Source organism: Homo sapiens, chromosome 10, assembly GCF_000001405.40.
Source record: "Homo sapiens chromosome 10, GRCh38.p14 Primary Assembly".
Taxonomy (NCBI): Eukaryota; Metazoa; Chordata; class Mammalia; order Primates; family Hominidae; genus Homo; species Homo sapiens.
This window is the reverse complement of record NC_000010.11, coordinates 97,527,080-97,541,208: the sequence shown is the minus strand read 5'-3', so window position 1 is coordinate 97,541,208 and position 14,129 is coordinate 97,527,080. Positions and strand designations below refer to the sequence as shown.

Below are 14,129 nucleotides of genomic sequence, written 5' to 3'. Positions count from 1 at the left end.
CACCGTGCCTGGTAAGATATTTTTTTACATGCTTCATTTCACTTAATCCTTGTAACGACCCTGTGTGACAAATATGACTACTCTTCTTTTACGGATGAGGACACTGAGGCAATGACAGGAATCCAGTGAGTGGTTTCAGGTCCTCTCACTCCCAGCCTGCTGCCTGTTCCAGACCCCGTCATGCCTACCAACTCCCCAGGGCAGCAAGACCAACCCCTAGTGGACACACACGCAGCTGACAAGCAGAGAAGCAGCGCTGCCTCCAGCCCAGGACACAAGGCCCAGCTGACACCATTGGCCAGTCCTACCCTGCCGCCCACACAGCCTGGCTGGGGTCTAACCCACATGGTGTCTCCAGAAATTGACTCGGCAATGCCCACGTCTGCCTCCATGCCAGGCTGTGAGCTCATCAAGGCAGCAGGTGGTCTCCTTCATGCTGACGTCTAGATACCCAGCTCCTAGCCTGGACCCAGATAAGCAGTACCAGTAGGTTGCCAAAAGGCTCAGATTCCAAACCTGAGAGAGAACCCTGGCTCTGCACTTATGTGCATGACTTAGGCATGTTATTCAACCTCTGAGAACCTCAGTTTCCGTATCTAGAAAATGGGGCTAATAACTATACCTTACAGGAGTAGCACAAGCACTACGGTAATAAGAATGACATGAACAAGAACTGCTAACATTTATTAAGTGCTTATCATATGCCAGGCAGTCTTCTAAACACTTCATATGTATTACATCATCTAATCCAAAGGCCACACAGCTGGGTGGTGGGCTGGCTCTGGAACTCCCATCCTGACCCCCACAAGATACTGCGTCTCCTGAGTGTCAGGGGACTGGTAGGTCACAAGCGCTCAGAACGTAGGTGGGAGTCTAGCCGATGCTCAGGAAGCAGTTCTAAGATGAATCAATGAATGAACCTCTTTCCATCTAATTCCATTTCCAGCACTTATTAACAAGTCCTATTCTGTGTACAGTCTAGCTGAGTTATTTGAAGTTCCTGTGAAATATAAAGCAAAAACCCACAAAAAAATGTGAAAAAACAAGACCTCAGTGAACAGAGCCTCCTTGCTCCCTCTATAGGAGGGTAACAGGATCCAGATTTCTGGAGGAGAGGCGATGACCCCAACCCTGGTGGTGCCATGCCCCTCCCCCTTCCTCAGAGAAGGTTCCAGATGGGAGGTGGCAGCCCCTCAGGAGAGGGGGCGGAAATGGTCAGAGGCTTTGGCTGCACCCAGCCCTCTGGGGGTGGTTGTTTGGAAGGGCCTCGGGCTGCACAGGCATCCCAGCTATTTGATTTGGCAATGCTTAAGGAGGTGGATCTGGAAGGAAGGGAGCTAACGGTGACAGAGCTGCCTCTAGGAGTTGGCCCTGGTGTCTGCACAGGGAGCAGGGAGAGACAGGGCCTCTTGTCCTCCCACACATCATATCCCCAGCCTCCCACCAGGCCACAAGAGCAGGACCCCCAACTAAACACAGCCCCACTTCCCTCCATGCAGGCCGTCCCCTCCCCCAAGAAAGGCTTGAGGGAGTAGGCAGGTGAGGCCTGTTTTGGGTGTTAACAACCAGTCTTGAACTTTTTTAAAAAACAGCAAAACTTCTTTTTTTTTTTTTGAAATGGGGCCTCTCTCTGTCACCCAGGCTGGAGTGCACGGGCACAATCACAGCTCACTGCAGCCTCCACCTCCTGGGCTCAAGAGATCCTCCTACCTTAGCCTCCCGAGTAGCTGGGACCACAAGTGTGCATCACCACACCCAGCTAATTTTTAAATTTTTGTAGAGACAGGGTCTCTCCCTTTGTTGCCCACACTGGTCTTGAACTCCTGAGCTCAACTGATCCTCCCGCCTTAGCCTCCTAAAGGGCTGGGATTCCAGGTGTGAGCCACTGCTCCCAGCCCAAAACTTTTTTTCGAAGTTAGTGAAAGGCTTTGAAAGAAGCCTATCTGAGGCCGGTAAAGTGGAGCTGTTCAGGGTTGGGGTTGTTGTTCCCCTGCCCATCCCTCCTGACACCTCCAGAAACCCCAGGCTCCAGAGGACATGTGAGCTTCAGCTCCTACCTGACAACTGCCCATCCCAGGCCTCTCAAGAGAAACCCGCTTGTGCTGTTAGACAGCCTTCACCTCCTGGGCAGCACCCAACTCAGCTGCCTGAACTGGGACACCTCAGGCCCAGGGCAACACAAGCACTGCCAGGCATGGCCCTAATGCACCATGTGATCTGCGCAGGTCTTCTCCCTGGAGCCACTCATCTGTAACATGGTTCCCAGGGCCCGTTCCAGCTCTAAGACTCAACTCACATCCACTTTGTGGAAAGACCTGTGCAGCGCTCCTGAGGACCACAAAGACAGCTAAGGCAAGATCCTAGCCCTCCAAAAATCCCCAGCCTCTGCCCCAAACTGCAAAGCAAACCATATGTGCAATAACACACTCACACACACATATACACACAGAAGGGTTACCAGATTCTGTGCAAAAAAAGCTTTGAGATCCAGAAGGAAGAGACTCTCATAAGCCCACAGAGACTCTGTTAAAGTAGAAACTGCTCAGATCATTCCCACAATCATTCATAAAATGTTCACTGTCATCTACCAGTGCCAGGCACGGTGGACGTCCAGACGAGCATGGCAAGTCCCTGACCAGACGAGCTCATATCACTGTCTGGGCTGAAGCTGAATCACACAAATGATACACACAAGGATCCCTCTTAGTTTTCTCAGACATTTTGTTCATGCTCACTATTTTGAATATATTTGAATGTGTAATTTAGGAAATCTTTGTAATCTGTTACTCTGTGGTACATTTTAAAAACATACAAATGTATAATAAATAATATATGTAAATTTTTAAATTTTATTTCTATTTTTACTTTTTTAAAAATAAAATAGGGATGAGGTCTCACTGTGTTGCCCAGGTTGGTCTTAAACCCCTAGCCTCAAGGGATCCTCTCACCTCAGCCTCCCAAAGTACAGAGATTACAGGTGCGAGCCACTGTGCCTGGCCAATATATGTAAATTTTAAAAACAAAGCAAAACAAGCAGGCAAACTGGTATGCGCTAGAGTAGAGGTATGTGGAAAGTCTGTTGGGGCTGAGCATGGTGGCTGGTGCCTGTAATCCAAGCATTTTGGGAGGCCAAGGCAGGAGGATTACTTGAGGCCAGGAGTTCAAGACCAGCCTGGCCAACATGGTGAAAGCCCATCTCTACTTAAAATATGAAAATTAGCCAGGTGTGGTGGCACACACCTGTAGTCCCAGCTACTTGGGAGGCTGAGGCACAAGAATCGCTTGAACCTGGGAGGTAGAGGTTGCAGTGGGGTGAGATCATACCACTTCATTCCAGCCTGGATGACAGAGAGAGACCCTGTCTCAAAAAAAAAAAAAAAAAAAAAAAGAGAAAGCCTGTTACAAGCACACACCCTGAAAGACCAGGCCTCCTTTCTGCTTCTACTGCAGGGGATGGAGGGAGCTGGGTTAGCTCATCTCTAAGGTCATGTCCAGCTCTGACCCTGTGTGACAAGGACTCTGGAAATAGGCTCCGGCTGGCTGGGAGGGCCCAGGTGGGAGCAAGCCTCACCCTCCTCCCTCTTTTCAGACCTCTTACCTCACTCACCCTCTCCACATACAGTGACCTGCCCTGCTTTGGCCTCTGCTGCTGCTGGAGGGAGAGGCAGCATACAAGCTTTGCGCCTCAGTTTCCTTCTGCAATAATGAGGGTGACAGGGGAGGTGAGGCATTTCTGATCAAGAATCCAGGTGCAAGAGCACAGGTCACATGTATCCTCCAAGCTATGTGCAGGTCGCTGGCCCCTGCTCTCTAGCTATCCTACCCCTGGTGCTAATGGGCTTGGCCTGGGAGCAGCCCCTACCACCCGACCCCCAAGGTAACCCAATTCTTCATGGTCAAATGACAGCTGGAGGTGGGGCTGGGGGGTCCTACAGCAGGAAAGGGTGATGATTACCAGGGTGCTCAGGCCCAGACAAAAGTGTCATGGCCTAGATTCATTTCAACACACAATTCCTGCGTACCCACTGTGTTTAAGATCCTGCCGGGCACTCAAGGGGCTGAGAAAATGAGGGAGACATTCTAATTACCTTAAAGTGTGTCTCAAGGTTTAAAGAGCACCTCCTCAGACAGGCCTGCCCTGCTGGCCTAACTAAAGTGGGCTCCCTCAGTCCCCACCACACCCCTTGTTGTCCGAATGCACGTCTACTCCAATTCTGCCATCATTTCCTCACTTCTCTGTACCTCTCCGAAGGTCAGCCCCTCCAAGGGAGGGCCCTGGTCTCTCCCTCACAGTTGCACCCTGTGCCTCCTCCTGTGTGAGCTGAATGAATGAATGAATGTATGACCGAATGACTCCACCACTGGACAAGCAGGAAGTGGCATAAAGGAGATTCAGAAGGCTTGGAAGGAACAAATTTGGGGAGACTTCCTAGAGGAGGAATGACATTGTGATCCTGGCCTTGAAAGAGGGTGAGGTAGGAGTCATTCCCAGTAGAAGGTACAGAAGCATCTACGGCCTGGAGTCAGGCTGGGTAGAGTGTGCAGGCCGGCAGGATAAGCTGAGGCCCCATGAGTTGGCCCAGACCCTTCAAGTTCTGATGGGCACCCTGCCCCTGGGCCCACTGGCCTCCTACGAGACACTGGTCTTCATTCTGCATTGACAAAGTCAGGTCTACATAAATGTCTGAACACAAGTCTGCAGTATGGTGGGCAGGGGTCATTTTAAAATCAAACACTAGCTGGGGTACCCACAGATTGCCCCATTTTCTTCTTCTCTAGTCTCCTTCACCCTGGCTGTCAGGCTCCTGTTCTGACCAGCCGTGCCACCACTGGGGGACTAAAGGACAACTCCCAACTGTGTCATGACGAAGACCTTGTATGACCACCTCACTCAGGTCTCTAAAGAATTTCTCTCCTGGCCGGGTGTGGTGGCTCTCACCTGTAATCCCAGCACTTTGGGAGGCGGAGGCGGATGGATCACATGAGGTCAGGAGTTCGAGACAAGCCTGACCAACATGGTGAAACCCCATCTCTACTAAAAATACAAAATTAGCTGTGCTTGGTGGCGGGAGCCTGTAATCCCAGCTACTTGGGAGGCTGAGGCAGGAGAATCGCTTGAATCCGGGAGGCGGAGGTTACAGTGAGCTGAGATCGCACCACTGCACTCCAGCCTGGGTGACTAGAGCAAAATTCTGTCTCGAAATAATAATAATAATAATAATAATAATAATAATAATAATTTCTCTCCAACTACATGTAGGTGATACATTAATTTTTTATTTTATTTTTTTGAGACAAGATCTTGCTGTGTCACCCAGATTAGAGTGCAGTAGTGCGGTCATGGCTCACTGAAGCCTTGAACACTTGGCATCAAGCGATCCTTCTACCTCAGCCTCCTGAGTAGCTAGGACTACAGGAGTGCACCACTGCACCTAGCTAATTAAAAAAAAAAATTTGTAGAGATGGGGTCTCACTTTGTTGCCCAGGCTGATCTCAAACTCCTGGCTTCAAGTGATCCTCCCATGGTGCCAGAATTATAGGTATGAGCCACTACAGCTGCAAGTAATTTTTTTTTCTTTTTCTTTTTCTTTTTTGAGACAGAGTCTTGCTCTGTTGCCCAGGCTGGAGTGCAGTGGCTCAATGTCTGCTCACTGCAACCTCCGCCTCCTGGGTTCAAGCGATTCTCCTGCCTCAGCCTCCAGAGTAGCTGGGACTACAGGCACATGCCACCACGCCCAGCTAATTTTTTGTATTTTCAGTAGATATGGGGTTTCACTGTGTTAGCCAGGATGGTCTCAATTTCCTGATCTCGTGATCTGCCCGCCTTGGCCTCCCAAAGTGCTGGGATTACAGGCGTGAGCCACCACACCAGGCCAAGTAATTTTTTTTTAATGGAAATGCTAAGACCTAGCTGTTGTTTAATGGAAATGCTAAGACCTAGCTGTTGATATGTCTTATCAGCATATGGGAACTAGCCGTTCACACGGAGCTGGTAGCAGGCCAGTCCAGAAAGGAGGCTTTGGCCAACCTGGATGGTGATGCCTCTGTGACTTGGTTTCTTGGGGCCATGAGACAGAGGAGGTGAGAGATATGGCCAGAGTGAGGAAGAATGGGCAGAAAAGCCCAGAAGCCCCCAGCCTCCAGAGTCCAGGTGAGATTTCTGCACTGCCCACACAAACCCTCTTCTTCCAGGCAAAGAGGAGTGTGGGCCTCAAGGGGGTGGCAGGGAGAAAGGCCGCCCCCTCCTGGCCAATGAGGGCTTTCAACAGAGGGCTTTAGAAAGGCTGGCTGAGTGCCGCTTGGTGGGGAGGCGGGCAAGGAGGACTGAGAGCTTGACATCATTTCTACTCTGGGCAGAGGTGTGGGCTGGAGTCTCTGCCAGGGGTCAGATGGTGGCCCTTGGAGGCTGTGTGCCTCCCAAGCAAACTGGCAGCTCCCAAATGGGCCCAAGTTTGTAAAGACAGTGTTAGCATCTGCAAGGGAAAAAATCTGGAGGAACACACACCACCTTTTCTACCCCAGAAGTGGGGTAGTGGACCTTTCACATTCTAGGATATATATTTGTGCATGTATTAGCTTTTTTAGGAGTAAGGGTGGTGTGTGTGTGTGTGTGTGTGTGTGTGTGTGTGCGCGCGCGCGTGTGTGTTCCTTAGTGCCTTAAGCTTTGGCTTGAATGTGGTGTGGTAGAAAATCTTGAGACTTAGGGGGAAACGCAGTAAAAGATCCTTGTCATGACAAAGTGGAGAAAGCTTAGCCAGGACTTGGAGTGTCTTCTACAAGGTACCTCGAAGGAAAGACTGTTTCTAGCTGCCTTGGATCAAACAAAGCTCCCATTTAAGCCGCTTTGTGCGAATTGTACCACAAACAAGCTGTAAGGGCAGGGCTGGGCCCTCCCCATCTCAGTCCCAGGGCTCAGGCCAATGATCCGCACACAATAGGTGCTCAATAAAAGCTGACAGAATGAACCAGCGAGTGGACCACATGGGAGGTGGTGAGAGCTCTGGTTTCCTGGGAAGGGGGTGAAGTGGGAAAGGGCCCAACAGAGGAGCCCTGTGGAAAGGCAGAAACCAGTGGAACCCTTGGCAAGCTGTCCTCAGACCTTTGTCTTAGGGGAAGGCGGCAGAAGCTGGCCAGAAAAGGTTGCAGCTGGTCCTGCCTGCAAGGTTTCCAGGCAGTAGAAGGCTTCAGGGCCCCGCTGGCCTAGGGCAGATGGGCTGTGGCCCACATCACCTGCCCCTCCCAAGGCGAGTCTGATGAGGGCTTAAGATTTTTTTTTTTTTTTTTTTGAGATGGAGTCTTGCTTTGTCACGCAGGCTTCAGTGCAGTGGCGTGATCTCAGCTCACTGTAACCTCGACCTCCCAGGTTCAAGTGATTCCCCTGCCTCAACCTCCTGAGAAGCTGGGACTACAGGTCTGCACCACCACACCCAGCTAATTTTCGTATTTTTAGTAGAGACGGGTTTCACCATGTTGGCCAGGCTGGTCTCAAACTCCTGACCTCAAGTGATCTGCCCGCCTCAGTCCCCCAAAGTGCTGGGATTACAGGGTGAGCTACCACACCCAGCCCAGAGCTTAAGATCTGTGTCAAGCAAGGGCTGAGTCAGACTTGGTGGAGGTGGGGGGCAAAGGGGGATGCTGCGAAGAGGGAGGGCAGACAGATCAGGCCTCATTCCCTCAGACACGCTCCACCAGCCCAAGGCCAGGCAAGAGCAGCCTCCTCGTACCCTTCTCCCACCCGCTATGGCGTAGAATATAGGCGGCCTTCCATGGTGCTGAAACCCAGGAGAAAGCAAAGCCCCGGGAAGAAGTCTCCCTTGCAGACAGGATGCAGTTGGTAGCTGTGTGCTAGGAGACCACCACCTGTTTTGGCCCAAACGTCCTCCCTTCATAGATGCCAGACAGGCTCTAGCAGTGGGTGGGGAGGAGAAGGCAGCAAACCCGGGGCAGCAGGAGGTATCTGCTTTCAGCACAGTCACCAAAGGGTCAGGGAGGGAGCCCTATGGGCTCAGCTCCCAGCTGGTGGAAAAGGCATCCTCTCAGTTTCAGCTCAGCTGGAGGTCAAGAACTGCTGAGGCTGGCAGCCCTGGGCAGGGGATCCTATTTGCTTGCAAGTGAGCATCTTGTCGCCGTGGTGACCCAGGGAAACACCATGCAGGAGTCAGCCACAAGGCCAGGAACAGAGCTTTCCAGCTGGGAAAGTGGATGCAAAGCACTCCTCCTCCCCTGGACCCTGACCATGGGCCAGGCACTGTCCTACCCACATGGACTGCGAAGATGCGCCAGACTCCAGGCTGCCCTTGGTAGGGGCCCGAGACACACCGGAAATAAGAGCACAACATTAGAAAGTGATGAAGGTGATAAGAGGCAAGACCAAAGACCAACAAGGCTTTCTTTCTTTCTTTCTTTCTTTTTTTTTTTGAGATGCAGTTGCGCTCTTGTTGCCCAGGCTGGAGAGCAGTGGCACGAACTTGGCTCACTGCGACCTCCGTCTCCCGGACTCAAGCGATTCTCCTGCCTCAGCCTCCCAAGTAGCTGGGACTACAGGTGCCCGCCACCACGCCCAGCTAATTTTTATACTTTTAATAGAGACGGGGTTTCACCATGTTGGCCAGGATGGTCTCGATCTCTTGACCTTGTGATCCGCCCGCCTCGGCCTCCCAAAGTGCTGGGATTACAGGCGTGAGCCACCGCACTAGCCTCGCCTGGCTAATTTTTTTGTATTTTTAGTAAAGACGGGGTTTCTCCATGTTGGTCAGGCTGGTCTTGAACTCCTGACCTCGGGAGATCCGCCTGCCTCGGCCTCCCAAAGTGCTGGGATTACAGGCATGAGCCACTGCGCCCAGCTCAACAGAGCTTTCGAGGAGAAAAAGAGCTCGCCTTAACTGTGGAACATATACAGGAAGAGACTCAGGAAAGGCTTTGGGAGGAAGATGGCATGAAACAGCAAACAAGTGAACTTACAAATCTCCCTGCAGACAACTCCAACTGCTTGGTTTGCTCCAGGGCCAAGAGATGGCAGACTGAGAGCGCCTTGACCCAAGGTGCTCCCTCCACTGGCTGCTCTCCCGGCCCAGTCAGCCCCCCACTATCTACTCCTTGACTCTCTCACCTTTCTAACCCTCAGTGTCCCACCTGGCTGTCCCTGCCCACCTCCAACTGCCTGCCAGGATGGCCAACTACCCAGCCCCCAGGATCACAATGCCTTGTTGCTGAGTCTTCCTGCTGGTCTTGGCCCCCAGGTCTGTGGTCCCACTCCTCATCACACCACAGGCCAGTTTTTCTATTCTGGGACCCATTTGGAGACTACCTCCTGGTGGTAAATTCTTAGCAAAATCCCATTACACCATGGCCTGTCACATTCCTCATGCTCCGCCCTCACCTGGGGACCTGGAAACCACAGGGGAGACTGTTGTGGGCCTAGGAACTGTTTATCACAGTTTCCAAGGGCACGAGACAGTTTCTCGGAGCACCAGGATGCTGGTGCTCAGAAAGGGCCAGAGGGTCAGGAATGGACCCGATACCTAGAATCGCCCCTGGGGGACTAACCAAAGGCTGAAGCTCAGGGACTGGCTCCATGACCCAGTGATCCCAAGCACAGTCAGGAGTCTCTGGTCCAACCACTTTTCTTATTTTTTACATTTAAAAGATGACATATGTCGGCCGGGCTTGGTGACTCACGCTTGGAATTCCAGCACTTTGAGAGGCTGAGGCAGGCAGATCACTTGAGGTCAGGAGTTTGAGACCTGCCTGGCCAACATGGTGAAACCTCGTCTCTACATAAAGTACAAAAATTAGCTGGGCGGAAACCTCACCTCTACGAAAATACAAAAATTAGCCAGGCGTGGTGGTGCACGCCTGTAATCCCAGCTGCTCAGGAGGCTGAGGCAGGAGGATCACTTGAGCCCAAGAGGTGGAGGTTGCAGCAAGCCGAGATTGTGCCACTGCACTCCAGACTGGGTGACGGCAAGACTCCATCTCAAAAAAAAAAAAAAAGATGGCATATGTTAAATTTAAAAAAAATAGGCTGGGCGCAGTGGCTCATGCCTGTAATCCCAGCACTTTGGGAGGCCAAGGAGGGCGGATCACGAGGTCAGGAGATGGAGACCATCCTGGCTAACAAGGTGAAACCCCGTCTCTACTAAAAGTACAAAAAATTAGTTGGGCGTGGTGGCGGGCACCTGTAGTCCCAGCTACTCCGGAGGCTGAGGCAGGAGAATGGCATGAACCCAGGAGGCAGAGCTTTTAATGAGCCGAGATCGCGCCACTGCACTCCAGCCTGGGCAACAGAGCCAGACTCCGTCTCAAAAAAGTAAAAAATTTAAAAATTTAAAAAATTTTTAAAATAAAAATTATATAATAAAAACATAAAAAGGAAAAACATAAGTAACCTATATCCTATCACCCCCAAATAACCAGCAATAATATGTTGAGACATTTTCTTTTGTTCCTCTCAATTAGCATTCATATTGCTGAGATCATATGGCATGTACAAGCTTCTACCATTATGATGTCCACGATCCTGTTTTTATTTTAATCTGAAACCAGCTGCTGGACCAGTGGTTCTCAACCCCTGCTGCTTGCCGGATTTACCTGTGCCCCCTCTTCCCTAGGTTCTATCCTTAGAAATCGACTCAGGACATAAAGAAAATATAGAATAAATATAACACTTCAAAAAAATCCTGTTTTTACTTCACACAGAATCATCTAATAAATATTTATTGAGCAAATATGTGCTGAGCACTATAAAGTATGCTTTTGTAAAAATTTTTTTGAGATGGGGTCTCACTCTGTAGCCCAGGCTGGAGTGCAGTGGCGCGACTGTAACTCACTGCAGCCTCAAACTCCTGGGCTCCAGCATTCCCCCTGCCTCAGCCTCCTGAGTCACTGGGATTAAAGGTGTAAGCCACCATGCACAGCTCAGGATGCATTTCTTATAATAAAGAGCTTGCATCATTCTTCATTCATTCATCGATTCATCCATCCATTCATTCATTCATTCATTCATTCAAGAAACATGTATTGAGCTTCTAGTATGCACCAGGCCCCGTGCTGGGGAACACGGACACAAAGTCACTAAGGCTCTCAAGGTCAGAGCTAGTGAGGGAGACAGACATGTCAGGAGATTGTTAGAAACTAATGCACACATGCAAGGGGAGTGATATGCACAGGAATCAGGGGGACACGTGAATGTGGTCTCACCCCCTCTGCGGAAGGTCTTAAAGTTTGCTCCAAGTACCAAAGAACAAGCTGGAGTTAGCCAGGCAAAAGGGCAAGGGGGCTGGGCTCGCCAGACAGAGGAGGCAGTGTGAGCCTACTCTGGGCTCAGGTTTGTGGAGCTGCAAGCAGTGCTGCCAGGTAGATCACACGAGGCAGGAGGTGGTCAGAATGAAGCCAAAGAAGGGCAGATCAGTCCCAGTCCCTCTCCCTCTCCCCACGGTCTCCCTCTCCCCACGGTCTCCCTCTCCCTCTCTTTCCACGGTCTCCCTCTCATGCCGAGCCGAAGCTGGACTGTGCTGCTGCCATCTCGGCTCACTGCAACCTCCCTGCCTGATTCTCCTGCCTCAGCCTGCCGAGTGCCTGCACGCCTGACTGGTTTTCGTTTTTTTTTTGGTGGAGACGGGGTTTCGCTGTGATGGCCGGGCTGGTCTCCAGCTCCTAACCGCGAGTGATCCGCCAGCCTCGGCCTCCCGAGGTGCCGGGATTGCAGACGGAGTCTCGTTAACTCAGTGCTCAATGGTGCCCAGGCTGGAGTGCAGCGGCGTGATCTCGGCTCGCTACAACCTCCACCTCCCAGCCGCCTGCCTTGGCCCCCCAAAGTGCCGAGATTGCAGCCTCTGCCCAGCCGCTACCCCGTCTGGGAAGTGAGGAGCGTCTCTGCCTGGCCGCCCATCATCTGGGATGTGAGGAGCCCCTTTGCCTGGCTGCCCAGTCTGGAAAGTGAGGAGCGTCTCTGCCCGGCCGCCATCCCACCTAGGAAGTGAGGAGCGCCTCTTCCCGGCCGCCATCCCATCTAGGAAGTGAGGAGCGTCTCTGCCCGGCCGCCCATCGTCTGAGATGTGGGGAGCGCCTCTGCCCCGCTGCCCCGTCTGGGATGTGAGGAGTGCCTCGGCCGGCCGCGACCCTGTCTGGGAGGTGAGGAGCGTCTCTGCCTGGCCACCCTGTCTGAGAAGTGAGGAGACCCTCCGCCCGGCTGCCACCCCGTCTGGGAAGTGAGGAGCGTCTCCGCCCGGCAGCCACCCTGTCCGGGAGGGAGGTGGGGGTCAGCCCCCGCCAGGCCAGCCGCCCCATCCAGGAGGGAGGTGGGGGGTCAGCCCCCCACCCGGCCAGCCGCCCCATCCGGGAGGTGAGGGGCGCCTCTGCCCGGCCGCCCCTACTGGGAAGTGAGGAGCCCCTCTGCCCGGCCAGCCGCCCCGTCCGGGAGGGAGGTGGGGGAGTCAGCCCCCCGCCCGGCCAGCCGCCCCGTCCGGGAGGGAGGTGGGGGGGGTCAGCCCCCCGCCCGGCCAGCCGCCCCGTCCGGGAGGGAGGTGGGGGGGGTCAGCCCCCCGCCCGGCCAGCCGCCCCGTCCGGGAGGGAGGTGGGGGTTCAGCCCCCCGCCCGGCCAGCCGCCCCGTTCGGGAGGGAGGTGGGGGGGTGAGCCCCCCGCCAGGCGAGCCGCCCCGTCCGGGAGGGAGGTTGGGGGTCAGCCCCCTGCCCGGCCAGCCGCCCCGTCCGGGAGGTGAGGGGCACCTCTGCCCGGCCGCCCCTACTGGGAAGTGAGGAGCCCCTCTGCCCGGCCAGCCGCCCCGTCCGGGAGGGAGGTGGGGGAGTCAGCCCCCCGCCCGGCCAGCCGCCCTGTCCGGGAGGGAGGTGGGGGGGTCAGCCCCCCGCCAGGCGAGCCGCCCCGTCCGGGAGGGAGGTTGGGGGTCAGCCCCCTGCCCGGCCAGCCGCCCCGTCCGGGAGGTGAGGGGCGCCTCTGCCCGGCCGCCCCTACTGGGAAGTGAGGAGCCCCTCTGCCCGGCCAGCCGCCCCGTCCAGGAGGGAGGTGGGGGAGTCAGCCCCCCGCCCGGCCAGCCGCCCCGTCCGGGAGGGAGGTGGGGGGGTCAGCCCCCCGCCCGGCCAGCCTCCCCGTCCGGGAGGGAGGTGGGGGAGTCAGCCCCCCGCCCAGCCAGCCGCCCCGTCCGGGAGGTGAGGGGCGCCTCTGCCCGGCCGCCTCTACTGGGAAGTGAGGAGCCCCTCTGCCCGGCCACCACCCCGTCTGGGAGGTGTACCCAGCAGCTCATTGAGAACGGGCCATGATGACAATGGCGGTTTTGTGGAATAGAAAAGGGGGAAAGGTGGAAGATTGAGAAATCGGATGGTTGCTGTGTCTGTGTAGAAAGAAGTAGACATGGGAGACTTTTCATTTTGTTCTGTACTAAGAAAAATTCTTCTGCCTTGGGATCCTGTTGATCTATGACCTTACCCCCAACCCTGTGCTCTCTGAAACATGTGCTGTGTCCACTCAGGGTTAAATGGATTAAGGGTGGTGCAAGATGTGCTTTGTTAAACAGATGCTTGAAGGCAGCATGCTCGTTAAGAGTCATCACCACTCCCTAATCTCAAGTACCCAGGGACACAAACACTCTGCCTGGAAAACCAGAGACCTTTGTTCACTTGTTTATCTGCTGACCTTCCCTCCTATTGTCCTATGACCCTGCCAAATCCCCCTCTGCGAGAAACACCCAAGAATGATCAATAAAAAAATAAAATAAAAATAAAAATAAATAAATAAATAAATAAATAAAAAAGAAGGGCAGATCAGTGAGGGCCTCTGGGCCAGTGACACAACTTGGACATTATGCCCTAAGGGATGGGAGAGCCTCTGAAGGGGCAAAGCCAAGGAAGGATAGGCACTCTTTTTCTTTTTGAAATTTTTTGTATAGATAGGGTTGCCCAGGCTGGTCTCAAACTCCTGGACTCAAGTGATCCTCCTGCGTTGGCCTCCCAACGCATATGGGATTATAGGCATAAGCCACCGCAGCCTGCCAAGGCAGGCTTTTTTTTTTTTTTTTTTTTTTTGGAGACAAGAGTTTCGCTTTGTTGCCTAGGCTGGAGTGCAGTGGCACGATCTTGGCTCACTCCAACCTCCGCCTCCTGGTTCAAGCAATTCT

The 14,129-nt window shown here is 53.5% G+C and overlaps 1 protein-coding gene across 1 annotated transcript in view; it reads right to left on the bottom strand.

Moving 5' to 3' along the window:
- UBTD1 (ubiquitin domain containing 1) overlaps positions 1-14,129 on the bottom strand; it is a 72,283-nt gene that overhangs the window by 29,998 nt on the left and 28,156 nt on the right. The gene's annotated exons all lie outside the window — the stretch shown is intronic.